Here is a 27,732-nt window from a genome sequence, read left to right on the forward strand (position 1 = left end):
ACCACATAACATGTTGGTTTCACAGGTTCACAGCTGGAGAGCAATTTGCCTCAGGATGAACAGTATCTTGAATCTCATTCCTACTGGATTTAGATGATATTTAGATGAGAGTTTGGACTTAAGACTTTAAAGTTGATGTTGGAATGAATTAAGACGTTTATGGCTATTGAGATAGAATGAGTGTATTTTGCATATGAAAAGGACATGAATTTAATGGGCGTCAGAGGAAGAATGCTATGGACAATGTTTGTGTCTCCCCAAAATTACTATGTTGAAACCTAATCCCCAATGTGAGGGTATTTGGAGGTGAAGCCTTTGGACAGTAATTAGGTCATGAAAGTGGAGACCTCATGAATGGAATTGGTGACCTCATAAAAGAAGGCCCGTAGATATTCCTGGCTGCTTCTGCCATGTGAAAACACAGCAAAAAGACAGCTGTCTATGAAACAGGAAGTAGGTCCTCACCAGACACAGAATCTGCCAGTACCCTGACCTTGGATTTTCGAGCCTCCAGAACTGTAAGAAATAAATTTGTTTATAAGCTGCCCAGTCTATAGTATCGTCTTATAGCAACCCAAATGGACTAAGATAACAACTGACATTAAACCCAGAACATTAAAAATAGCAGGACGCTTTGCACATATGATCCTGAAAACCTCTGTGAGATTAGCAAGGATTGTTCCCCCATCTGATTGTTCCCTGAGGAACTAGAGGCTCAGATGAAAGACTAAATTTATTGAGTGCCTACTATGTACTGGTACTAAGCTCACTGCTTTCCTTATAAAAATACCATAATGTGGGGTTTAAAGTAATCATTTTAGAAGGAAATGGAGATTCGGTGCAGGAAGCAGCTTGAGGGCAGAGTGGCTCTTACACAGAAGATGGGTTTGGGGCAGCACTGCCCTGGTCCCCCAGCTGTGCCATTTAACAGGTGTCAACATTAAGCATGTCCCAATGGGTCTGAGCCAGTGTCCTCATATGCTCTTAAACACTAGTAAATACTAATAAACACTACTAAGTAATGCTCCTTATCTGAGTTCAACCCTCCCCCAACCCCAACTGTAGCTGGAAGTGCTTTCTTCCTTCTTAGAGCTTCCACTTTATTTCATGGGATTTTCTATCTTCTAGATTAGATTATACACATTCACATTCTTAACCTCCTCTACTAGTCTACAAGCTCAATGAGGATATCGTTAGGATTTCTAATGCACACAGAACCCTCTAGATTCTCTCAAGTGGTACAAAAGTCTGCTTTAAAGAACAAGAATTTAAGGAAATACAGTCCACCCTAAACCACACAATTCTATCACTCTCCAACTGAAAGCCACACAAAACATCCCATCATACCTGGTCTGAGAGCTGCGCATGTCCTCATGGTCTTCAGGGTGTTGCAGAATCTAGCCCTGCCTTTCTTTCCAGCCTCATGTATCCATACTCCTTCTTTCCTGAAGCACAGGCCTCCCCTTTCTCATTTTCTTTTGGACACCGAGCTCCTTCTCTTCTTCCCCGACATAGGGCCTTTGCAGAGGCTGTTCCCTCCACTGAGAACACTTCCTCTCCTCTCTGCCTTGCTGGTACCTACACCTTTGTAATTGCCTGATAGGTTCTTCTTGCCCGCTACACAGAGAAAACCAATTCACCAAGACTGTGATATTATAGTAGAAAAAGAGTTTAATGCGGAGCTAGCCAAGTGGTCAGACAGGAGTTTTCTTGCTCAAATCAGCCTCCCTGAGAATTCAGAGGCTAGGGATTTTATGGATAATTGGGTGGTCAGGGGCCTAAGGAATGGGTGCCACTGATTGGTGGGGGATAAAATCATAGGGCTGTGAAAAAGGGTCCTCATGTACTCAGTCCTCCTCTGGGTAGGGGCCACAGGACTGGTTGAGTTGTGAGTCCCAGGTCCAAGTGGAGTCAGTCAGGGGCTTGATGTGCAGGTCTGAAGATATCTCAAAAGATCAATCTTAGGTTCTACAATAGTGATGTTATCTATAGGAGCAATAGATAGAATAGGGAAAGTCACAAATCTTGTTACCTCTGGTCACATGACTCCTGAGCAGCAAGGAATCAGAGAAAGGCAAGCTGGTAGACAATGGCTGGTTATTGTTTAGCTACACCTACATTTTAGCCGAATTCAGACCCCTCCCATAATCCTAATCTTGTGGCTTTTCATTAGACTCACAAAGGTGGTTTTGGTCCCTGAGCAAGGAAAGGGATCATTTTAAAGAGGGAACTTCCCCTCCTTTCTTCCCCCCTCATCCTTCTTTCAAAGTTTAACTATAAACTAAGTTCTTCCCGTAGTTGGTTTGACCTGGGTCCAGGAATGAGTGAAGACAGCCAGCCTGTGAAGCTAGAGGCAAGATGGAGTCACCCATGCTAGACTTCCCTCGCTGTCATAACCTTTACAAAGGTGGTTTTACCTTTGCCCCCTGCAAAGGCCTTCACTGTTCAACCAATCTAAAGTGATTCTTAAACCACTCCACTCTTATCCTTCTTAATCTTACCACAGTTTATTAGATACTTATTTTTTTTCATCTGTCTCTTTCAATAGACTTTAATCTCCACAAGGGTAGACTATGCCCACTCATCATAAAACTCCAAACATATAACACAGTGTCTGGCAAATGGAAGGCACCCATAAGTATTTGTTGAATAAAGAAATTATCACAAACTCCAACTTAGTGGGATCTGAATTAATGATCCATAACCCACAATCACCAAAGCATGCACATGAGCAGTTTTCTGAGCTAGTCCTGCTGAAGCAACTACAGGAAGGACTCAAGCTCTAAAGCATTTCATCACTGTCACCATATTCAGAGATGGCCTCCCTGGTGCCTGCCAAGAGAAGGTATCTAGCTCCAGGCCACAGGGCCCCTTGTCACTTTGCTGTCTACTTGGGAATTCCTCACAGTGATGGAAAGTTTGAGCTGGGTCTCCTCCTTTCCTTCAGGTCAATGTCACTGTTCCGAAGCTAGACTTGCAGTTCACTGGGAAGCATGACACCACAGCACCTCCAGCTGTGGACGCATCATGGACAAGCCAGGCTGAGAGGAGAACTTCTCATTACTTGCAGCACAGCAACATTGGGTTCAATGTATGCCCATGAAAAACCTCATTTAAGAGAATGCCTTGGAAAGGTGCCAAGGTCCCCAAACTAATTAACTTTCATCTCTCCTGGCCCTCTGCACCCTCTCTCCATGAGGAACATTAAACATAGAACATCAGCTTGAGAACACTCTATTTAAAGCAAAAGTCCTTCTAAAGATAGCCTTGAACGTCCATCTAAATCATCCTAAGTCCATTTTCTGGCCCAGAATCCACAAGGCCAGCGCCCCCGATGGGCCCTACTATGGTGGCTTATATCCATAAAGAATGTCTTTCACGGTTCATTGGTTGGATTAATCTGATATAAAGTGTCTAAACTGAAAACCTCTGGGTTCGGATCTTGATGAGTTTTGGCAGAACAGCAAGTAAGTGACAGTAGATTTATTAAATAACAAAGGAAAAGGAAAGTGATTAAAGAAAAATTAAAATGAAGTAAAAGTGGGAAAGTTCAATCTCATAACTTTTATAAAAGAAGATTATATCGGCCAGGCGTGGCGGCTCACGCCTGTAATCCCAGCACTGTGGGAGGCTGAGATGGGCAGATCACAAGGTCAGGAGATTGAGACCATCCTGGCTAACATGGTGAAACCTTGCTTCTGCTAAGAATACAAAAATTAGCCAGGCATGGTGGCACATGCCTGTAGTTCCAGCTACTCAGGAGGCTGAGGCAGGAGAATCGCTTGAACCCGGGAGGTGGAAGTTGCAGTGAGCAGAGATCATGCCACTGCACTCCAGCCTGGGCAACAGAGTGAGACTCCATCTCAAAAAAATAAAAAAAAGATGACGACATCTTTGTGAGGAGGCCACACAGGCTCTGGTCTACCTGAATACTAAAAAATATCTCCCCCCCGGGTGTGGTAGCTCACGCCTGTAATCCCAGTACTTTGGGAGGCCAAGATGGGCGGATCACGAGGTCAAGAGATCGAGACCATCCTGGCTAACAGGGTGAAACCCCGTCTCTACTAAAAATACAAAAAATTAGCCGGGTGTAGGGGCGGGCGCCTGTAGTCCCAGCTACTCGGGAGGCTGAGGCAGGAGAATGGCGTGAACCCGGGAGGCGGAGCTTGCAGTGAGCCGAGATCGCGCCACTGCACTCCAGCCTGGGCGACAGAGCGAGACTCCGTCTCAAAAAAAAAAAAAAAAAAATATATATATATATATATATATATATATATAAAAAATTAGCTGGGCATGGTGGCAAGTGCCTGTAGTCCCAGCTACTCAGGAGGCTGAGGCAGGAAAATGGCGTGAACCAGGGAGGTGGAGCTCGCAGTGAGCAGATATAGTGCCACTGCACTCCAGCCTGGGCAACAGAACAAGACTCTGTCTCAAAAAAAAAAAAAAAAAAAAAATCTCCAGAACTTGCTAGGAATTTTGTACTCAAGATGGGCAATTTAACATCTTCAGTGAATTGCAGGGGGGCTCAGGTTTGTCATTTTCTCAATGTTTAGGGAGAGATGTGCTCTAGCAATTCACACCTGAGTGCTGCCCAGCAAGATCTGATCCCTAATGGAAATCACACCTAGTAATTATCTATTCAAAATAGGCACACCTACCTCAACCTCCTCTTTCTAATCCACTGAAATCCGATGTAGGAAATATACCAATATGTACATTCCTTAATAAGCAAGGATACCAATAAATACAGCAACTGCAGCCCCATTATTCTGGGCAGAACTGCAGAGAAGGGCAGTACACTTAATGCCATTTTACTGGAAATGGAAGCAGGAAATCGGAGGGCATTGCTAATCAATCCCTGGCCCTACCATTCCCAGCTTCGCAGACGCTTGACTTATTAGCATCTGAGCATGTGCACATCCTGGGAATTCAACCATAAAACATTCTCCATCTCCTACAGATAAAACATGGCTCAAAAAAAAGATGGTGATCCAGTGCTTTGGGGTCAATGGAAAATATGAACTGCCCCCTCTGGAAGCGCTTTTTTTGTTGTTTTTTGTTGTTGTTGTTGTTTTTCTTCAGCAAGTGCAGCCTGGAGGGGAGATGCCAAGCTCCCAGGGCAGAGGCTCTGGTTCTTGAGGGCACATCTAGAAACTACCAGGCCAGGCAGGAGGTAGGAGTCTCACTGGTTGACCTTGCCAGGTAAACCTGCCCCACTCACCCCCATCTTCAGATGGTACTGAAAGCAAGGCTTAAATGAAAAATGGGAAAACAAGGCAGAACAAGATGAGTGTGACACATTTTACTGGCAGTCTTCTTTTGTTATTTTTAAAAATGTATTCGTAGGCCAGGTGTGGTGGCTCACACTTGTAATCCCAGCACTTTAGGAGGCTGAGGCAGGCAGATCACAAGGTCAGGTGATACAGACCATCCTGGCTAACACAGCGAAACCCCACCTCTACTAAAAATACAAAAAAATTAGCTAGGCATGGTGGCATGCACCTGTAGTCCCAGCTACTCGGGAGGCTGAGGCAGAAAAATTGCTCAAACCCAGGAGGCGGAGGTTGCAGTGAGCCAAGATTGCACCACTGCACTCCAGCCTGGGTGACAGAGTGAGACTCCATCTCAAAAAAAAAAAAAAAAATTGTATTTGTAAAGGGGGACCCCCAGCCTAGCGAATTTGCCTGACAATGTGCAATATCTGCCTCTCATTCTGTTCCTTAATCCAAGGGACTAAAAATTCCACATAATTATTCACATCTCCATTATGAATTGCTTTTTACTCTCTGCTGCTTGTCATCAAGGTCATCTAATCAATAGTCTTCGTTTCAGAGAGAAAAACAAAGGAACAGAGGAGTTAAGTGGCTTGAGAGTTATAAAACCTTGTTCAGTGAAGGCTCCACAAACAGCTAGGTCCTTAACCTGAGCACAGCCATAAAGTGATTCTGCTGTTTAAAAAAAAGAGAGAGGCGATTGTGGGTTTAAAGTAATTAAATATCTCTATGTTTAAGTGACATGTGGTTTGAATGATTACTTTCAGAAAAGCCAAGAAGGGGAAAAATGAACTCAGAATTATTGCTTTGGGCACAGAAAGAAGAAATAGGTTTAATACCAGGGCATGGACTAGTTGCTTTGCGAGGGGCAAGGATTAGGAGAAAAGGTCCCAGGCATCTGTACAGCAGCACCTCTAGGGCCAGGAGCAGATGGGCTGGGGGTGGGGGGGGTAGCGGGGGGTGGCAGTTATCACTAAGGGAAATGTACATCAGGCCCCTGGGAGCTTGCCCCATGACTCCACAGCAGAGGAGGCTGTGCAGCATAGGCAACAGGCATGGACTCTGGAAGTGCAGTGACCTCCACTGTGGTTCTAATCTTCCCCTTACTGGCAGTGTCCAATTAGGACAGTTATTTACACAACCTCAACAATCCCATCTGTAAAATGGGTATTATAATACTGACCTAGCAGACTGTTGTGAGAAGTCAGTAAGATTTCTCCTGCAAAGTGTGCCTAACACAAGATAGGTGGTCAGTAAGCAGCAACCTTGAGCCAGCCACTTTCCTTCTCATCTTCTTTACTGTCCAGTGGTATTTATTTGCAGAACAGTAGACCACAGTGATGATGTTTCTGTTTACAAAGATGACTACTCTGAAGAGGGAAACCCAAAACTCCATGCATTAATTCCACAATCAGTGTAGGAATATAGCACCAAGCTCTCACTGGCACCCTATCCAGACCCAGAACACAGTAAATGAAGATCCTCTGAGCTTAATGGAGAACCCCAAAGCAATGCATGAGCCACTTGGAGAAGGGGCATAAGCTACATAAATATAAAATCATAGTAATGAATGTGGGCACAATCACTCTTTGGTCACTGGCAATGCCTTGACTTGTGAAGTGCCAGAAAGCCAACCAGACACCCAGGAATTACCCACCTCCTGCATGGCCACGTGTCTTCCAAACCTCGACAGCTATGTGTATGTGTAATCAACCAGTTCAAAGCCCCTGTAGCAGGAGGCAGTGCTTTGTTGTAAAACAAAACTGAGATGAAATAACCGTCATCCTTTCAAATCTCCTCTGAGAGTTTGGTATTTGAGGCACATTCTGTGATGTACTTCTCTCTGACCTCGAACACTTTGATTCTTTTTCTCAAGTTCACATAAAAGACTGAAAACTCTCAGATCGGTCTACTGTATCGAGAGCCTCGACTGGATCTGAATTCTTTGCTGGTGTGGAGAATTAGTTGTTATTCCAGATAGTTAAGAAGTGGAGATAAAGGGCCATTACATTAGAGAGGCCCAGCCCATTGGGAAGTCGGGCCATGTCTGCTCCTTATTTAAAAACAGATTAGTTCCCACTGCTCCCCAGAGGCTTCGAAGGGTACACTTAGATATTGTAAGTTCCATCCTGACATCCCTCCCTCCCATTCACAATACACTTGCAGAATTTGAGAATGTGGCTTGTCTGGAAGGCTTAAAACAAATGCTTCAATTTTCCATTCTCCAAATGAAAATCAATGGCAACAGAGAGGTAAAATCAATGTTCAGCACTCTGTAGGGAAACCTCCACCCTCTGCCCCACGATCTCCCACCCCACAGAACAATAAATCAGAACCAGCCATGCAGACTAGCAGAAAATCCCTGAGGGCAGAGCCCTCTGCATGCTTAAAGACTTTCTGTTTGTCCCCCTGTCCCCTAAGAGAACATTTTTCTTAAGAATGCCTATGAGAATGTTGCTAAAACCTAAGTCAGGAAGAATAGCACAAGGTTGTAATAAAAACCCTTCTTCCGCAAACAAACCCATTTACCAATGGGATCCTGGGCATCTAAGACCAGAGTGTGACTTAACTGTCTCCCAAAGGGTCTACTTTATGATCGAGGCTTACAGAATGCTTAGGCACTCAATGATCACTACTCTGAGGACAAATAACCTGCTTTCTGTCATCACAGATTGGTCTGTATTCTCTACAATTTCAAGTAAATGGAAATTGTATAGTATCTCCCCCTTTTTGTGGGAGGTTTGTCTTCTTTCACCCTGCCTAATTATTATCAGATTCATCCATTATGTTGGATGTATCAATAGCCTATTTCTTTTTATTGCTGAATAGTAATCCATTATGAGATAGACCACAATCTGTCTACTCATTCATCTCTTGTTGACATTTGGGTTGTTTCACAGTTTTTATCCATCACACATAAAGCTGATATGAACATGCAGGAGGGAGTCTTTAAATGCACATATGCTTTCATTATATTTTACAATCAAATCTTTTGTTGTACATGTTTTGCAAATATTTTCACTCAGAGTGACTTGTCTTTTTCATTTTTGTAAAAGTGCCTTTAGAAGACCAGTGATGAAGTCTAATTTGTTGCTTTTCTTTTTGCATTACAGTTCAGGCTTTTTGTGTCCTACTTAAGAAATCTTAGTCAAACTCAAGGTCATAACTCCTATGTTTTCTTCGAAGCCTTCTTCCAAGACTTCTAAAAAAGCCTAAGCTCTTATATTTAGGTCTACGACTCATTTCAAGTTATTTTTTGTATAGTATGTTATATAATGATTAAAATGTATAACTATATTGCTTGAGCCCAGGAGTTCAAGGTTACAGTGAGCTATGATCGCTCCACTGCCCTTCACCCAGATGATGGAGACTGTCTCAAAAAAAAATTATATCTATAAATAATTTGTAGTATCATTAAAATACTCACTTATAAAAATTAACTAAAGAGGATGTAATAGAAATTTTTATATGCAATATAGGAACCACTTGATCAGTTTTGACAAAAACACACCAATAGACAAAACCCATGATTTGAAAAAAGAATGGAAGAAAATATTCCACAATATTTTAATTACTGTTTTTAGAGAGTGTGACCATTGCCTATTTCTTGTTTCTTTTTTTCTCTACTTTTAATGTTTTCTATAACAAGCATCAACTATCATTACACCAAACTAAATTAAAAATTATTTTAAAGTAGCTTAAGAGAAGGCTTCCTGACTCCCAGCTGTCTTCACACTGCTCTTTTGTGCATAACTGGCCCTTTTAGAGAACTTGAAAGATGAACATACTACAAAAATCTGTCCCTTGCAACCCCACTCTACATTGTTTAACAGCAGGAAGGTGTGAAACAAAGAATTTCCAAAGAGAATTCTCCAAAGAGAATATGAGTTTACCTGAAACCAAATACAAATGCCACCCTAATCAAGGAGAAGAATTCCAGCAGGGGAGGGCTGGCTGCCTTGCTTGGCCCCCCACTGAAATTGCTTGCCTGCCGGCCCTGACACACTGCAGTCACAGATGTGTGTGTCAAACAGCTTCTCTGCTCACTCAATCTCCACAGACAAAGAAAGCTAATGAAATTCTCTCACTGACGTGCTCACTGTCCTTCTGTCTTGATCTGCTTGCAAAGATAGCCTAAGTCTGGAGCCTCATAATCAGCTAAAGCCTGGCCTGGCTAACTCTCTGTGTGCACTCATGACTGTCTGGCAGGTGAGATTTGCCTCTTAAGCTGCTGCAGAGGCCAACTTGGCTGGCAAGAGTGCCTACAGATGTTTCACAGAGAGAAAGATTACTTCCCTGATTGATGAATAAATAGAGTTGTCAACATGGTCTCCCTGGTCAGAGGGGACTCCTGGAGTATAATGTGGAAGGACAGATGTTTCTTCTGGGAAGGTGTCCAAGACCCTTCAAAGAGGTATGCACTCAACTGATATCGTGGACTGAGTAATTCAGCCTCTAAGAGGAAGACAAGGAAGGCTGGACATAACAACCACAACAAACACACTCAGGGACTTCCTGGACCAGGCCACCTCCCAGATCTTGATAAAGGAGTGGGCACACCATCTCAGCCAGTGCCTCCTCCTTGGGCTTTTTCCATTGAACCAGTGGGCCCAATTATCAGAAATCCCATCATCTTCTTAGTCTACACCTGCTGTGAATTGCAAAGGGGGCAGCAGAAATGACACTGTCATCCTCACGCTAAACCTCAAAGGCTTCCTCTTGCAGAAACTGCAGACGCAGGTGCAATCAAACTGGGTAGGGACCAAGGCACCTGTAGTGAATTACTTTTTAGTCAGTAACTTGCAACTTTGGAGATTTCTGGCTGACCTTCCGAAATGAAGTAGATAATAATAACTATTATCATAATTGTCTCAGTAATTGTACGAACAGCTGCTATTATTTGACAATAGACTATGTACTTTACACACCATCATTTTATTGAACACTCAAACACACACACACACACAAAATACTCTGCAAGGATTCATAAAATTTATCATCCATAAACCCTCCCTGTAAGAATTACTAGAGGATGTGTTCCAGCAAATGAAAAAGAGGAATGGTAGAAGCACTGTCATTAAACCTATTTAACAGATAAGGAAGCACAAATTCAGAAAGATAAAATAACTTGCCAAGGCCACTTGGAAAAGGAAATAGCCAACCTGGGAATTGAGCCCAGATGGGTCTCCTTCCCAAATCCATGCTCTCACCCACTGTAATTTTATGGTCACCAGGAGATGTGGGAGATGAGGATTACAATTTTCAACACAAGCAAAAGTGTTGGTGCTTCCAACACAGAAACACGGCATGCCCAGAAAAACACCATTTACACCTGGATATGCCTGAATATCAATGAGGCTGCTGAATAGGTCTCAAACCGATTTGAGTTTAAAACCAAAAATGTCTTGTCTAACACTTCCAGAAAGGGCTATATCCTGCATTGTAGGAGGAAACATGCAATGGACTCTCCATCTTACACACACAAACATACACACACACACACACACACACACCACACACACATGGCTAAACAACCTAGAGCACCATCCCAAAGGGTATTTGGGTATTTTTAATTCATATGGCCACATCTTCCCTCCATCCGAGAAGAAAGACATTGCATGTAGCAGGAGATTCTAGGCTAGTTTTCTCAGATAATATATACCTTAAAAGGAACTTCAAATAATAACCCCCCCCCCCCAAAAAAAAGTGGTATTTTTTTACATACCACTCCCCAATGAACTTGACTTTCCTTGAGGGTAGGAATAGGGTCTCTTGTTTACCTCTGTAGCCTTAGTGCCTAAGGCCTCAATACCTTTTCGTTGAATGTCAATGAATGGATGAGCAGACAATGACAGGTAGAATGAAGACATCAACATATTGTAGTAGTGAAAACCATAAGCTTTGGAGGCAGACAATCCTGGGTTTGAATCATGCTGCTGCTTGCAAACAAATTACTAATGCCTCACTAGCTTCAGTCCTCTCATTTGTAAAGCAGAGACAAAATAAATACCAAATTTACAAAATGGCTGAAAGAACTCAAGGAAACAGGTGCTGAGCACAATGCTTGCACAGGCTGAAGTATTCCAGGGATGCAATCTAGCTTTACTACCAGGAAAACAGTTCAGTCTGGGGACAGAGAAAAGCACATTATGATACCTTGCATCTTGCTCTTGTAGAGACAAAGTCTGATTATTTTAAAAACAACCTTGACAGTGACCTCAGAGCAAGATGACCCTGGATGCTAGGTCTATTGTTGCAGGTGCCAGGCTTAGAGAGGCCAGAGGGGTATGGGGTGGGGGCTGCTCTAGATGCTCACCTCATGCCAGGAGCACCATTTCTCTGCCAGACCATGATTTCAGAGGGCAGGAGCTCCCTAGGCACATTCAGAGGAAACCATTTACAGGATTGAGGGAAATTAAAACATACCCCCAGAGGAACAGCCAAGGGGACCAGCATTGCTTGGACTTCAGGAACAGAGGGAAGGGATAGGACCCATTCTGCATGGTCCCAGCTCAAGCTGGAGATATAAAGCAAAAGTTCTCGGTGGGGAGCCGATTTAAGTGGGAATCTTTATTTATCTAAATTCAGAAAGGTTGCTTTATTTGTCTGAGGTCATGGTACAGTGCCGGTGAGCAGCAAAGCATACTACCCACTTGGGAACTGGACATGGGCAACTCCAAAGCCCCACTGCGACACCTCTCAATTGTACAGGCAGCACAGGGAGAAGTGCAGAATATGCACTGAAATTGCCTTCCTCTCATCCCTGCCCCATCTGACTCCCTTCTTAAAGAAAGCCCGTTTGCATGTGTATGTTTGTTTGCTTTCATGCTTCAGGTATTTTTGCAGGACCAAAGGCAGAAGCAGTCTGAATTGAAAGCCTGTATCCATCATTTGTGAAAGCCTAAATCCACTGGATAGATGATGCTGGGAGTGGAATTAGGGGTAAAAGCAATGGCTTTAAGGACCCTGAAGAAGATGGGGGATACTTCCCCCTGGGCTGGGGAAAAGAGGATATCAGGGGCTGTACCCTGAGGAAATAGCATGTTCCCAGAAGGAATGGTGGTGTGGTGGTCCTGAGAAGGCAGGACCCAAAAACCAAGGATGGCAAAGATGCTACATCCAATGGGGACATGGAAGCAGAGAGCCCTTGGGCCTCAATGGACCTCGAAGAATCATCACAGTGAGGTTGTTAGTGCAACCAGGAGACTAAACACTTGGCCCCTGCTTTCTTAGTTGTAAGTTTCCTGGGTCGTGGCATCACTCTGGGAGGAGAAAATTCTCAATCATGACCAAGAAGGAATTTTCTGCTCATCTGTTCAGATCAGGACTCAGAGTCAAAATGAAGTAGATTTAAAGGAAATAAAGATGGACATTCTTTGTAAACCTGTGTTTGAGAACTGAGATTCCTATCATAGTCAGAGTACAGGCACCAAACACCATACAAATGGCGACCCTAACACTATGCTCTCCCCTCCCCATATCCCCACGTCAAAGACTGGAAACCCTCAGATCTGCCAGCTGCAGAATGCCTCCCAGCCCCCAGCCCCCGGCCTTCCTGCCTTACCTGGGGAGCAGGTGCTTGCGGCTGACACACAGGGCGGTCTGGTAGTCCTGGGTCACACACACTTTGTGAGGGCTGCATTTTACCTTCAGGCAGGGGTCCTTGGATGGGTCCAGGGCTGAGGCAAAAACAAGAAGGAGGGCAGGGTTTAGGACCTCCAGGGAAATTTAATTTTTTTTTTTTTTTTTTTTTTTTTTGTTGAGACGGACTCTCGCTGTGTTGCCCAGACTGGTGTGCGGTGGCGCGATCTCAGCTCACTGCAACCTCCCCATCCTGGGTTCAAGTGATTTTCCTGCCTCAGCCTCCCAAAGTAGCTGGGACTAAAGGTGCACGCCACCATACCCGGCTAATTTTTGTATTTTTAATAGAGATGGGGTTTCACCATGTTGGCCAGGCTGGTCTCAAACTCCCGACTTCAGATGATCCACCTGCCTCGACCTCCCAAAGTGCTGGGATTACAGGCCTGAGCCACTGCACCGGGCCTTAATTTCTATTTCTACTTAAATAAACAGATAGGAAGTAAACCAACCATGTGTTTGCCCTCGGTGCTGTTCTCTGAGGCTGGAGGGGAACAGAATGAAAGCCCAAGCCAGGGGAAATTCTGTGTCTATCACACATTCTTCCTCAACATCAGGGGAGCAATTCCTTTGTGCTTTGGGAGTTTCAGCATCTTCAGCTCAGGCAGGAATTACTTTTAAAAAATCCTTTAGAATCTCACATGATCCAAGAAACAAGAGCTACTTTTCCCTCTTTGGTTATGAATCTGGTGTTGCTTTTTATGACTTCATTCATGCCTAAGTTTACTTATTTCCTATGAAAAGTCCTTGAGGACAGAGTTTTTTGCTTCCATTCAATAAACACTATGTGCATAAACAACCTATTTTAAGTTTTTGAAGAACTTCAGGATATGTAAGACAGTTTTGTGCCGCACAAAGTTACAACGTAACAGGGAGGGGGAAAAGCTTACACATAAATATTTATTGTGCAAGGCAGAATTAGATAAGGACCATGACGGGCATATAAAATGATAACAGAGCCCAAGAGAAAAATGGAGATCAATTTCTAGGGCAAGGATTGGTGAAGCATTAATATGTGAATTGGATCTTGAAGGATGGGCAGGATTTTGAAAAGCAAAGATAGAAAATGCAATCCAGTCAGAGTGAACCGGCACAGAGAGTGTAGGGAGGCATGTTCAGGCAATCATAAGATACTCAATCTGACTATTAAGTGTGGTTTGTAGGGAGGCAGTAATGAGACAAGAGGGGGTGAGGGGAGTTGATTCCAACAAAGTAACTCCAGAAAGGGTCTCCAAAGACAGCAGTTCATATATTGCAACATTTCCTGGAATAGGCTGAGCAGCAGGTCCTCAGCTAATCAGCGCTCTGCGTGCTGAGGTGCACATGCTCATCATTGGCACAGAAGAGGCCTCGGGGAATTCTCTGCAAAACAAAAGCAATTGTGCCATCTTCAAGCTCTGGGGCCTAAAGCCTATTAAGCAGTAAATCTTTCATAACTGCTCTCCACAGTCAGGGGAGGTGATGTCTCCCCATGTCCTCCCCATGCAAACATTTGGTTAAACAAATTGGCATCCTGAGCAGGTATAGCAAAACTTCTACAAGAAATGACATGGTCAAAAAACCAAACCAAAACAAACACAAAGAAATGTCACAGTGCCCTCAACCACTGGACTCTTAGCCATCCTGACTCCTCAGCATGTAGAGGACATCACTGTTCCTCTCCTCCTGCCCAGGCCCAGAATCTGCACACTACTTTCTTCAAATGCCTGCTGCGAATTTCTCAAGGGTCCTGAACACACAACATCCAAAAGCATTTCTGCTACTTGAACAGCTTAACTGGCTCCCTCCACTGCCGCAGCTTCAGCAGCTGTAAACAGAAGCCAGGCTGCATTCTCAGGCCCATCTGGAAAGTAATAAGACCCAGGGCCCGGTCCTAGGGGAGTCACCTGGTAGAGTCTACTCCCCAAGGGATGTGACTCTGATACTTGGAGCTTAGCAGAAAGAAACAGGCTGTGAGATAAAAGAGAGGCTGATTTGAGCCCCAGGGACAGAGTGTTCATTCACTCAGAGCTCTTAAGCTGAAGGCAACCTCTGCAAGGCAGGTGGCAGGGCCCTGTGTCTGCCTTCAGAGTCTTCCAAGGCTGGGGCTTCCAGAAACTTGCAGCAAGAGCTTCCTGGTCCTAAGTGGAACTCTTTTGGTTCCTGGGGATGTCTGCATAAGAAGCCAGGAGACTGGTGCAGTCTCAGCCCAGTGCACTGCCGCCCACGCCAACCCTGGGGCTGCAGCTCAGCCAACTTTGACTCACTCTCCAAGAATCATTCAAAATTGAGTCAACAATTAAGAATGATTACCAGATGACCACTAATGATGAAAGTTTCTCAAGGGTTCTGAACACACAACATCCAATGGCGTTTCTGCTGCTTGAACAGCTTAGCAGGACATGTCAGTCCTTCATTGCCCCTTCTCACACTTCCACACACCACAGGATGAAGACATTTATAGATCTCAAGAAACCTGGGGACTAGACCACAGGCAGCCCCAGTCATAGTTATCAGCTGAGGCATTTTCCCCAACAGATGCCAAGTGCTGCAGCAGAGAACTTGAGATTTTCACTTGAGTGGATGTCAGAGACAGAGAAAAACAGGTTGGCCTAGGGTGATGGGTGTCAAAATCTGCAGTACTACATGACAAGCTTTGTGGCAGAATTTGAGCTTATTTTTGCCTCTGTATCCAACTTTGTTAACATGCCACACTGTCCTCCGGGTGGTCTCAACGGACAGTGCAATCACAAGGATCATGAATCAGCTGAGCAGATCCGGGAACAGCACAGACTCCAAGGCAGAGTAGCTTCTGGAACAGCACGGACTCCAAGGCAGAGTAGCTTCTGGGACTGAACCCTGCCTCTGCTGCTTGCTAACCTTGCTATACCTCACTTTCCTCTCCTGTAAAAATGGGGATAATAACAGCACCTGCTATTGCTTGGTGGTTGTCATGAACATTTAATGAGTTAATATCTGTAAGTACTTAGACCTGGAACATGCTAAGCACCTCATATGTGTTTATTAAGTTTTTTGTGTTTGTCTTTTTTCCCAGAGTAAATAATCAGTTTTCATAATAACAAAGAACCATAGTTAACACTCACTGAGTGCTTTTGACATACAGGCAGTGAACTCTGATTGGATTACCACATTTAATTTTCATAGCCACCAAAGGAGGTAGCTGCTATTAATGTGCAAGTCTTAAAAATAAATTGCTAATGAGAGATGCAGGACAAACCTGGTCTGTGACTCCAGAACCCAAACTCTTCACCAGTGTATGCTTGAAGCATGAGAATCTCCTACTATCTTCTTTAAAAAGCTGATTGCGGGGCTCACCTCATGCCAAGGGCCCAAGTGCACCATATTCTTAAGAGGCTTTGGGGGCAGAATGAGACTTACTGGGTAAAAGGAGGGGGCAGCCAGATTACCCAGTGCTGCAGAGGATGGTCCACGATTCCCTCTCAGTACACCCCACAGGATGAGGTCACCAGCCCTGATCTTTCCCCAGAGGCTGGGGTGCCCAGCTCTGGACACCTGAGCCCTCAGCCTACCCCCTCTGAATGCAGCCATCCCCCAACTGAGTCAAAGGAACCATGGTCTGGTCAATTTTGTTCCTGTAGTTTTGCCATCTGTCACCCTACCTTAGGCTAACTCCTGTAGACCACCCTCCACTTCTGGAAGCTAACATTTCTTTAAAAACAAAAAACCTCCAACCCAAAATACTAATAAATAAAAACTGTTCGTTATTAAACTCCCTACATACTTAACAATTTGCATACAGAAATCAAGTCTGCTAAAAATCAATTACTGGGGTCTGAATACTTCAAACATGTATGCAAATTATTTAGAGTAAATGAACTTCACAGAGCAACAAAACAGTAACAAATCAAGCTGTCAGCATTTGTTTAATCACCTCGCCGCATTTTGTTTTTGAGAAACAGCAACACTGGGATTGAAAGGGGATGAGGAGTGTGTCATTTCCATTTAAACTCAGGCCTCCCAAATACGTTTTACCTAGCAGCCTCAAGGCTCAGGGTGATGGATGCTCCTGAAAGGCACCCAGCACCAGTACTGGAAAGGACTGTGGCTGCACTTTGAAAAGGGAAGGATAAGAGATCCGAATAATAAGTGGCATTTGAGAGGCCTTTTAATAAGTAGGGGAAACTGTAGGTGAGAAGGTAGGAGAGGCAGCTGAGCGTGACAGCCCTGAGCAGAGTTCAAAGTTTCCTTGTCATGGTGCTATTGATTTCCTGGGGACTTGCTCCAAGTTTCAATCTCTCTCCGCATACAAGGAGTGAGAGGATGCAGACATCCCCAGAGGATGACAAAGCCCTGTGTCTTCTCTACCTCTTCTATCACCAAACCTGCAGGACTCCTGTGGACCCAAACAGGACAGCATCCCTAGCACAGAGCAGGCGCCCACCAAAGGTTAATTTTATCTTTCCCACCTATATGCAGAACTATTCAAGAGTCAACTGGCACCCAGCACAAATCCAATTATTTTTTTCAAAATGACTTTTTACAGAAACCTTTCTCAAGGAACAAACCAAGAATGAATTAATTTAAAGAGATTTGTTAAGCTGTAAAGCATTGAATTCAAAAGCCAGTTAATTACTGGTTCCATGTAACTTTTTTTGATTAATTTTATTTTTAAGCTCACTACTTGGTCTCAATTAAGGTGGTGATATTTTAATTATCTTAATTGTTTCTGAACTTGTTTTTCAGTTCAACGAGTTATTTTTTAATTAGCTACATTGATTTTAAAATCCTGAATCAAGCCTTTGCACTCTTCTTGAGCACATCCTATAGGCTAATTGGCAAAGGGTCATGACACCTAGCACAGCAGAGCTTGATACCACCTCAGAGATGCTCAGATGAGAAGAAGGTTCCATTTTGTGGGGTGGCCCAAAGGGTTCCTCACCTGGGGGAAATCACACACATTTGTGTTTATTCAATTAATATTTACAGAGTATCATTCAGCGTGAAGAATCTTTCTGCAGGCTAAAGGTGAATACAAAGAGGTGAGCAAAAAGATGTTCTTCCAGCTCTCCAGGGGTTCACCGTTGAACATAGGAGACAGGTGAGACAGGTAAGGTACCTAATTCAGCCTTTCAGGGGGTCAGGTGAGACTTCCTGGACAGACTGACATCTATGGAAAAGTAGGTTTAAACCAGATAATAGGATGAGGAAGAACACTCCAGATAACAGGAAGTTGTCTTTCCAGGGGTAAGAAAGTTTGTGGCAGGCTTAAGGAATTCAAGTGTTTCATGAGGCTGGCAGCAGTTGGAGCAAGCCGGTGAGTAAAAAGGCTGGAGAAGAGGCTGAGCCTGGTCCTGAAGGGCCTTGGAGCCACAGGGACCATGCTGGGGAGCCAGGGCCTTTGAGTTCCACAGTGCCTTCAACCCAGCATGCAAGAACCTGTGACCAGACTAAAGTCGGGGGAGAGGGGCAGGAAGAGGGAACCCTAAATATGCATTTTATGTAGAAAGTGGCACTTAGTAAGAACAGACACACTACATATATTCTCGTCCGCCAAATGACAGAGGACATCAGGGCTGAAAGGCCCAGTGGTCAACTCTTAGAACCCCTTTTCTCCTGCCAGGAACCTCCTTCCTCCCTCTCCCCAGGAACACCAAGCCACACAGGATTCCGGGAGGCACAAGATACCTGTTGAGACCAGTAAGCAAAAGATTAATCTAAAACAGCAGCTTGAACTCCTGGCCCACTCTGGTGAGTTCCAGAATCTTCCTCAGGCCAGAGGCCACTCGATTTGCAAAAAGTCCACCAGTTAAAGATGCCTTGTTGTCTCGCTGTTGCTTTTAAGACTGCTCTCTGCCTGAGTCATGCGATCCCAAGGTTCACGTGAAGAGCAGACACTCCCAGTGATTCATTAGGAGTGACTTAATGGACGACTGACAAAGAAATTACACCAAACTGTGAAAACCTCGTCAAGCTATGAGCAGGAACATTTATTGCAGCTTGTCTGTCCCCATGGTAACCCGTGCATGCATCTTGCCTCCCTTGTCTCCAGAGAGGCTTGTTCACCAGCTGACGACAGAGCCTCTCAGAATATAAAATAGAAGATTCTGCCCATAGGATTTTTGCTGTAACCAGAGAAGAATGGCAGCTTGGAAAGCCTCCTCACAATTCTTTCCTTTCATATTCAAGGGGCTGGCCAAGTTCTCCGAGGCCAAACAAAGGGCCTATTAGACATGTGCCTGGATAGGGCAGAGAGCAGAGTGGCATAAAGGTTGGACTCATGCATTTAAGGATTGGGGAATTGGTGGGGAGGGACACAGGACAGACAGAGACAAAGAGGCAGAGGAGAGAAAGATGAGTCTGACCAAAGATAGCCCTCCTGGGAAGAGACCTTTTCTTTCCCCTTTAAACTGAGGTCCTGGGGACTTCTTTCTGTGTCAAAGATAAAAGCATCTTCTCTGTTACATTATTTGTGTATGTGTGTGTGTGAGGTGGGGGAGAGGGTTATAAATTGATAACAGCCTTTTTTGGGGGTCAATTTTTTGGTTGTGCCCTTAAATGATAACAATTGTTAAATGTAGGTAGATGGGTGTATAGCAGTTTATAGTATCCTCTCAACATTTTGGTATACATAAAAATTATAACAAGAGAAAAGGGAAAAAAGAAACATCCTATGACCCAGCAAGTGAACATATTAGGCAAAAATGTTCATCTTAATAATCTGTAATAAGGGAAAATTATAACACTTTGAATGTCCATCTGTGTTAGTCTGCTCGGGCAGCCATAATGAAAGTACCACAGACTGGTGGCTTAAACAACAGAAATTTATTTTCTCACAGTGCTGGGGACTAGAAGTCTGAGATCAGGGTGCCAGTAAGGTGAGGTTCTAGGAGGGCCCTCTTCCTGGCTTGCAGCCAGCCAGCTTTTTGCTACGTCCTTACATGGTCTTTCCTCGATGCAAGCACTTGGAGAGACAGAGAGCCAGCCCTCTCTCGTGTCTCTTCTTATAGGACACTTATCCTATCAGCTCAGGGCTCCACTCTTTGGACCTCTTTTAACCTTAATTACTTTCTTAGAGGCCCCCTCTCCAAATACAGACATCCTAGGAATTGGAGCTTCAACGTGGGAATTTGAGGGGGATAAAAACATTCAATCCAGAACACCAACTGTAGGGAAATGGTTTAGTTAATAACATAATACATTTTTTAAACATCATGCAACTATTTTACAGAAACTAGTAGATCTATATTTGGTAACATAGGTAGATATTTATGATAAATTAAGTGAAAAGGCAAGTTGAAGATGAGAAAACCAATTTGAAACGGTAAAGTAACTTCCCAGCACCATAAAGCCTTAATGGCAAAGCCAGTACTCAGAACCAGACCTGCCTTCTTCCAAAAGAAGCGCCTTTCCCTTCCCTACCCTTCCTCTCCGGACAGCCACAGCCTCTGCCCCACTCACAGACCAGGGCCCTCAGTTTCTCCTGATTGCCCTCTATCTCATATCCTGTCTGCAGCAAGGAGACAATGACAAGCCATGACCATGGCCAGGGTCCAGAGCAGGTGTCCAGCCCTGGGTGATCTTGGCATGTGTCTCTGAGATGAAGGAGTTAAGGACTACCCACTACTGAGAGTGTCTGGGAATTGCTTGGCCCCTCTGCTCACATGCAAAGCAAGACATTATGAGCAACCACTGATAAGCCCAACATGGTAATTTACATGTCCTGATCATTAGAAAAGAAGGCGTTAAGAGGGGTCTGCCAGAGCAGCTGTGGAAATGTGTGTCATAAAATCAACAACCACAAAATTTTATTAGCCTGGGCAGCCAAGCCTCCCTTCTCAAAGCTATCATCTCACATTTTCCCTGCTCCCCAGCTGCTCTGACAAGGACCCTCACTCAGCATTTCCATCAAGAAATTGATTTCCCTTTGAAAGTGTGATGGGAGTGGAAAGAGGAAGTAGAAGGAAAGGGGGAATTAAATAGAAAGGAAGGGGAGGGAGAACATTACATACTCTGTCACCCAATTAGGGGGCTGACATGGAGACAATGACAACGACCAACTATAGAATAATGTACTATTATCCTAATTCAACAATAAAGAAACTGATACAGAGATCAGATCATTCTTAATTTACCAACTGGTAACTGACAGAGAAATGTTAAGCCTGTTTGTGGTCACACAGCCAGTGAGCCTGGATTTTAATCTTGGCGAGTCTCACACCAAGGCTGATACTTGAAGCCACTAAGCCACTAATGAAAATAACTTCTGATGGGGATAAAGGTGATGATTAAAGTGTCAAGCAGCAATGTATCACACCCCTCTGTCCACCTTCCCCAAGATTCATGTTACCCAGAAGACCTCATAAAAAAAGACTTCCTGTGAAAAAAAAAGATTGAGCTATCAGAAATCAAAGCCAAATTGCTGGCTATCTTAATAAGCTTGTATTACTTTTATAATGAATACAAAAGTGCGAGCTGCTTTTAAAGGCAATGCTGCTGTCCTGTGAACTTAACTCCCTCTGACTTAAGAAACAATAGTGACCAGGTGAACTGACTGTGGTTCCTTCCGTGAGGGGTTTCTGTGAAGTGTGCGTATGTTCCACACTGCTAATGGGGAGATGCATGAAGCCCAGCGCAGCATGGGACAGGGCAGTGTAGGCAACAGGAGCTGAGAATGGCCTGGCCTCTAAGTAGAGAAAAAGATATCATCCACAGAGAAGTCTTCACCTTCTCATCCATCACAATGGCCAGAATTTATTAAAATGCTATAATAGTAAAGGTATTTGGGTTCTATTTCATTATAATTGACATAAATTATTCATAAGACATTTATGAACAAAGGAGAGAGATTTACTCAAAATACAAAAGAACCAATTCTATAACCTAAGAGAATAAGAGGGCATAAAAAGCATAGTAAAAATCAAATATTTCCTGGAAAAAAGTGTACTTAAAAGATCACTGTGGCTCACACAGTCTATCTTTTGTACCTGTGCTTCACTTTAATGCAATTAAAATTTCTATAAAAACATGGAGCTTTTCCCAGGCCAAAGACATCCAGAGAATTAACTCTTTTGGTGCTGATTATTCTGACATTATTCAGCAGCCATGGTTGTTGATCATGTAAGGATTGGGAAACTCAGCAACTCCAAGAATTTCTGCCAAATTTTTAGTGTACCTAGAAGATAAGAACCCAAAGCATTTGGCTCGGAGAGATGTAAGTTTGAGAGGAGAGAGGCAGCTTTGCCACTTCTTGCCTATGAGGTATCTTGATGGGTTACTCAACTCTTTAGGATTCAGTTGCAGGCAAACAGATCCACTTTACTGAGATGTTGTGAGGATCTGATGGGATAACACATGAAGGTTTTCTAGCACAGGGCCTGGCGCACAGTTCATGCTCATTTATTATCCTCATGGCTTTTACCAGCTCTTTTTAGCTTGCTCCTAAAATACAGAAAATGGATGTCCACCAAGGGCAAGGGACCCTGGACACTTCAGAAACACAAGATCCTGGAGCCATAATTCTGTTCAGTCTTTCCAATCTCAAAATGGTAAACTCTATAAGAAGAAACATTAAAGCTTTTCAACATCAAGCATGGGGTCCACTTTGTCCCGAAAACTTCTGCTGACTAACCACATCCACACCACTGATGAAGCCACCCTACAACAAACAAGTAGCTCATGCCTCTCTAGTAGAGCTGTACTCTGCCTTGTCTCTACCCACAGATAGTAAGGGCTGGGAATAAAGGATGAAAATCCTCTTCCTCTCCTAAGTTTTGGGCACTAGGTTCACACAACAGAGCCTTGTACACAAACCTACGCTCATGCTCTTTTTGTTTTAGGAGAAGCTCTGTGGGCTTTGAAATGTCACTATTGAAGAGTCACAGAGCTTAATTGTTAAGGTATCTTAAGGGCCCACATTCAAGCACTGTTGGTAAGAGGCTAGAAAAAAAGAAGAGCTTGGTTAGGGAAACAGAATCTGGCAAATATTGTTGATCCAAGCAGACAAGGAGTCCAGGGAATTTGGTGGCAAGGGGTATGTTGGGGACAAATGGGCAGGCAGGGCTCAGCAAGGCAGGTGTGGTGTATAAGGTTGGGGCTTTCTGATCCTCAGCCCATGAATGTCTTCTGCCCTCTCCTACAGAGCCTGGCAGTGACAGGTGTTAATTGAACAGGAAAGTCTGTAGGGAAAGCCTACCCCAGATTAGAAACAGGGATCTCAAATCACCTCTCAGAGCCTCAGATGAAGAGGTCACTTCTGCAGTATGGCAGCCTATGGAACACAGCTTCAGTGGAGCACTCTGGTGAGGTCATCTCTCAACAAGTCTAAAAATCAACTAAAGGAAGGGAAACAGGTAGGCCTACACCATATGCATCTAGCACAGCCTGGCCACTTCTTTCTCTTGTGTTCCCATAATCCAATCTAATCCTTGCTTCTCAGACTATATGGTAGGCCAAGGAGAATGCAAATCTATATTGAATCTCCCTGCAGCATCTATTTTACCAGATGGTAGTAGGTAATCTAAAATTTATATTTTGTATTTTGTAATTTTTTTTTTGTTGCTGTAGAGACAGGATCTGTCTATGTTGCCCAGGCTGGTCTCAAACTCCTGGCCTCAAGCAGTCCACCTATCTCAGTCTCCTGAAGTGCTGGAATTACAGGCTTGAGCCACCAAGCCTGGCTAGAACTTATTTATATTAAGGTAATCAATGATCTATTATGGAATAGAATGCAAAATGTATATAAACTTGTATAGAAGAGACTTCAAGAACGTACGTCTCACAGTGGATTCTGCCCCCGAACCTCAAAATAGGTATTTGCTCTTACTTGTCATTAGGAGCTCTTTGGTAGAAAAGTTTGAGCAGTGCTGAAAGTATGGAACAAGTTTAAAGGGTCCTAGAATGAAGTGGTAAGCTCTCCAGGGTACTGTTACATAAGATGGAAAATCAATACCAGTAAATGTACACACAAAGAACTCTCATAAGCAAATTCCTTATTCTTGCAGGACCAGAAAGCAGTTCCCATTAAATCTGACTAATCAAAAATATATCCCATGCCCCCTGAAACAGATTTCCATACCATCTCTTCCCTTGAATCTCAATCCCACAGGTGAAAGGTCCTAGAGTTTTTCAGAGAACTGACTCTGCAAAGTTCAAAGCTTGTTTGAGAGCCTTGTAAGTGCCAAGCACTGGGTGAGGTATTTAAATGAGCTACAAAGCATTTGCAGTTCCCCAGATATATTAAAATTAAAGCTGTTACTACTTTCATCCCTCTCACTGTTAATTTTTCAGAAACATTTGGCTGTGGGTTTATAAATGGATATTTGAAGACTATTCATTTCCAAGCCCTTTCTTTCTCCAATTAGAGCGGGTTCATTTCTGCTTCTTTAGGATGGTTCCCAAGGTTATTAAATTTCATTCCTCAACTGATAACATTGAAGCCATCATGACAAAGTTAATGTTGATTGGAGCTGAAGTTTCTTGGGGCATCTACTATTAGAAACCACCTCAAGCTGAGAGAAAAATGGTTGCATCCCCCACTATAGGAACTGGTAAGTGCCGTATAACTTAAGTCTTATGTATTCTTGCTGTTTTTACGTTTTGTGTGTGTGTTCTGTGCTATTCAGTCATGACTAAAATACTTCATCAATGCATCTAAATAAGCTAAATAATTCGCAGTTCCTGCCTTGCTCACAACCAGCTCTTTCCCACCTATCTCTCCACCAATGTGCCACTCAATGGCTAATTACTTCCCTTACATTAGCTAAGATAAGGGCTATCATGCTAATATAAAACATAAATCAGGGCTTAACTGCACATGGAAGACAGTTGCAACAATAAATAATGGAAAAGGACCTATGGGGTTTCCTAAGACAAGCATAAAACAAACACAAGGGGCAAAATCTTTCTTTTTTTGTTCTATAGCAATAAATACTGATCACCTAACAGGTAAGACACAGCAGAAAGAAAGTCATCTTTGGTTACTATAATGGCAGCAAAATTCTTTCCACCGGAGGGGTTGTTGACATTCTAGTTTTTGTTAAATTTAAGGATTCTAATTTTTTTCTTTTAAAGGAGCCTCATGACTCTGTCTTCTACAGTCTGGCTTGAAACTTCCCTTCCAGAATGTGGTTCCCATTTCCTGCCAATATTCTCCTTATCATCCAATATTTACCCTGCCTTAATTTATACGGACAACCCACAAACCCTCAAACATCTGAGGTGCTTTCATGTCTCTTGAGCCTTGACTGCACTGCTCAATACAAAATACCATTCCATTCTTACACCACCCTGTGAGGCCAAAAGAAAGAATTAGAATTTGCCGGAGATAATCCAACTAGTAAGTAGCCAATCTGGGATGTAACTGTAAGTCTGCTAAATCCAGTTGAAGCTCCAAGAGACTAAAGACAGTGTCTATCCTCTTCACTGCCACATGCCACCTCTCACCCAACACAGTGTCTGGAATATCTTGGGGGTTCAATAACTATTGCTGAGCCCAGGTCCATGGGCTTAACCACTACTCTAGCCTGCTCTGTGAGGCCAGGGGCCAAGTTTTGCTCACTATTTCTGAATCCCAAGTCCCCTGACATGTGTCTGCTGTAAAGGACATGTTCAGTTAATGCTGAAAAACTCTGTGCAAGGGGCATCTCTGGATGGATCTAATAACTTAAGATTTCCAGGTCACAAAAATTCAGAGCTGTGAGAATCCCTGGAGTATTTCCAGACCAACACACTCATTTTTCTTTTATTGTTTTGTTTCACAGAATAAAAACACTCATTTTTAATGTAGGGGAGACTTCAATTTGTCAATTCAACAAACATTTATGAAACTCATTTTATATGTCAAGTACTATTATAACCATTGAGAATTTAGAGATGCTTAAGACAGAGAAAGTCCTAGCTCTTAAGGAACTCATGACCTAGTAGAGATGTGATAAGAAAGAAAAGAGGGGAAGAGAAAGAGGCCAGGCACGGTGGCTCATACCTGTAATCCCAGCACCTTGTGAGACTAAAGAGGGAAGATTGCTTGAGCCCAGGAGTTCAAGACCAGCCTGGGCAACATAGCAAAACCCTGTCTCTACAAAATTTTTTGAAAAAAATTAGCCAGGCATGGTGGCACGCACCTGTAGTCTCAGCTACTCAGGAGGCTGAGGTGGGAGGATCCCTTGAGCCCAGGAGGTCAAGGCTGCAGTGACTCATGATCACACCACTGCACTCCAGCCTGGGTGACAGAGCAAGATTCTGTCTCAAAAAAACAAAAAAACAAAAAAAGAAGAAGAAGAAGAAAAGAAAGAAGGCAGGGAGAGGAAAGAAGAAATAGATAAGGAAGAGAGGTAAGGGGAAAACATGAGATAATGATAAGACCTAAGCAGCACATTTTAAGAGTGATATAATAAGGCCGGGCATGGTGGCTCATGCCTGTAATCCCAGCACTTTGGGAGGCCGAGGTGGGCAGATCATCTGAGGTTGGGAGTTCAAGACCACCCTGACCAATATGGAGAAACCCCATCTCTACTAAAAATACAAAATTAGCCAGGCATGTTGGCACATGCCTTTAATCCCAGCTACTCAGGAGACTGAGGCAGGAGAATCACTTGAACCCAGGAGGCGGAGGTTGCAGTGAGCCAAGATGGCGCCGTTGCACTCCAGCCTGGGCAACAAGAGCAAAACTCCATCTCAAAAAAAAAGAGTGATATAATAGAGAAGCTCCTAGGTGGTCACTCTAGATTAAGTGGTCAGGGAAGACCTCTCTAAGGAGGTGACATTTAAGCCACAATCTGACAAGACAGAGCCAGTGTTTTGAAGATCTGCTGAGGAACAGTGCAATCCCAGGAGAGGGATTGCAAGGGCCCCAGGATGGGAAATGGCCTTGGAGTGATGGATAAAGAAAATATAGCAATAGATCTCATGACTTTTCCAAGAACACACTATTGGACCAGGACCAGGAAGTATCTTTAGAATGATGGGTTCTCACATCAACATGTGCATCCTTGGTGCAATTAGTCTCCAGATATCTGTTGAACATGTTGAAGTCTAACTGAGGTTCATCAGCACCAATGGGCTGGCCTTGCTCCAGATCTGTACTCAGCTTTATGATCATCATAATGCCCTCACAGACCCATGGGGCTGCTTCAACACAGGGTTCTTAAGTGACCATTGCTCAGAGTGCCAAAGCTAAAGGCGAACAATCTGCACAGAAACCAGATCACCAACTTCCTGGTCACAGTCTTTGCTCCTATAAGCAAATCACCAACACGTGTGATAGAAATTATGTAGGAAGGGCCGAAGGAGAATGAACTGTGGGCTTCATTCAAAGGAGAATGAACTGTGGAACTGACACAGCCAGTTCCAAATCTGAGCTCAGCTCCTTGCACACTGTGTGACCTTGGGCAAGTTACATAGCTTCTCTGAGCTTTAAAGAGGAGTGGTAACATCTCCCTGATATGGTGGTCAGGAGGACTGGGTGAGACAATGTGTCAAATGCTTAACATTGATCTTTGCAAGTCCTCGGTAAGTGTTAGTTTCAACTCTTTCCCACATGATCCGTTTTAAGCATTCCTTTCAGTTGTAGCAGCCCAAACTGGGCCCCTTTTCCTCTCCAGATTTCTCCACCAGGTCATCTTTAAGCCAAATTACAGTCCTGAAATTGTGTTGCCTCTAATGTCTATTTCCCAGGAGACCTCCTGTGAGCTGCCCTTGGTGCCAGAATGGCCCTGCTATCCATAGCAGTCCCCCGTCCCCTGCTGGTGAGTCCCCTTCTCAATGGGCCTGTACTCTACTCTTGCAACTCCAGAAATCAGAAGGCTGATCACCTCACTTGGCCTCTATTGTTGCCCAGTTAGCCAGTGTGGGGAAAGGTGAAAGG

The 27,732-nt window shown here is 43.7% G+C and overlaps 1 protein-coding gene and 1 long non-coding RNA gene across 2 annotated transcripts in view, besides 1 other annotated feature; one reads left to right on the forward strand and one right to left on the reverse strand.

Annotated features, from left to right (window-relative positions):
• Positions 1–27,732, reverse strand: part of SPOCK1 (SPARC (osteonectin), cwcv and kazal like domains proteoglycan 1) — a 524,029-nt gene that overhangs the window by 152,445 nt on the left and 343,852 nt on the right. Inside the window, exon 4 of the mRNA NM_004598.4 lies at positions 12,838–12,952. Coding sequence (NP_004589.1) covers positions 12,838–12,952 — 115 coding nt within the window. The remainder of the gene's footprint in view (positions 1–12,837; positions 12,953–27,732) is intronic.
• On the forward strand, positions 455–3,227 carry LOC105379192 (uncharacterized). Its single transcript, NR_134246.1, has 2 exons — positions 455–518; positions 2,948–3,227. It is a non-coding gene; the product is annotated as an uncharacterized LOC105379192 (long non-coding RNA).
• Positions 17,722–18,921: an enhancer, noted in NCBI's record as "BRD4-independent group 4 enhancer chr5:136481153-136482352 (GRCh37/hg19 assembly coordinates)". NCBI's record gives its function as "activates an origin of replication core promoter dependent on BRD2, P300/CBP, MED14 and CDK7 cofactors, and independent of BRD4, by STARR-seq in HCT116 cells {active_cell/tissue: HCT116}" and the evidence as "EXISTENCE:reporter gene assay evidence [ECO:0000049][PMID:35650434]".

This window comes from Homo sapiens, chromosome 5 (assembly GCF_000001405.40).
Source record: "Homo sapiens chromosome 5, GRCh38.p14 Primary Assembly".
Lineage (NCBI taxonomy): Eukaryota > Metazoa > Chordata > Mammalia > Primates > Hominidae > Homo > Homo sapiens.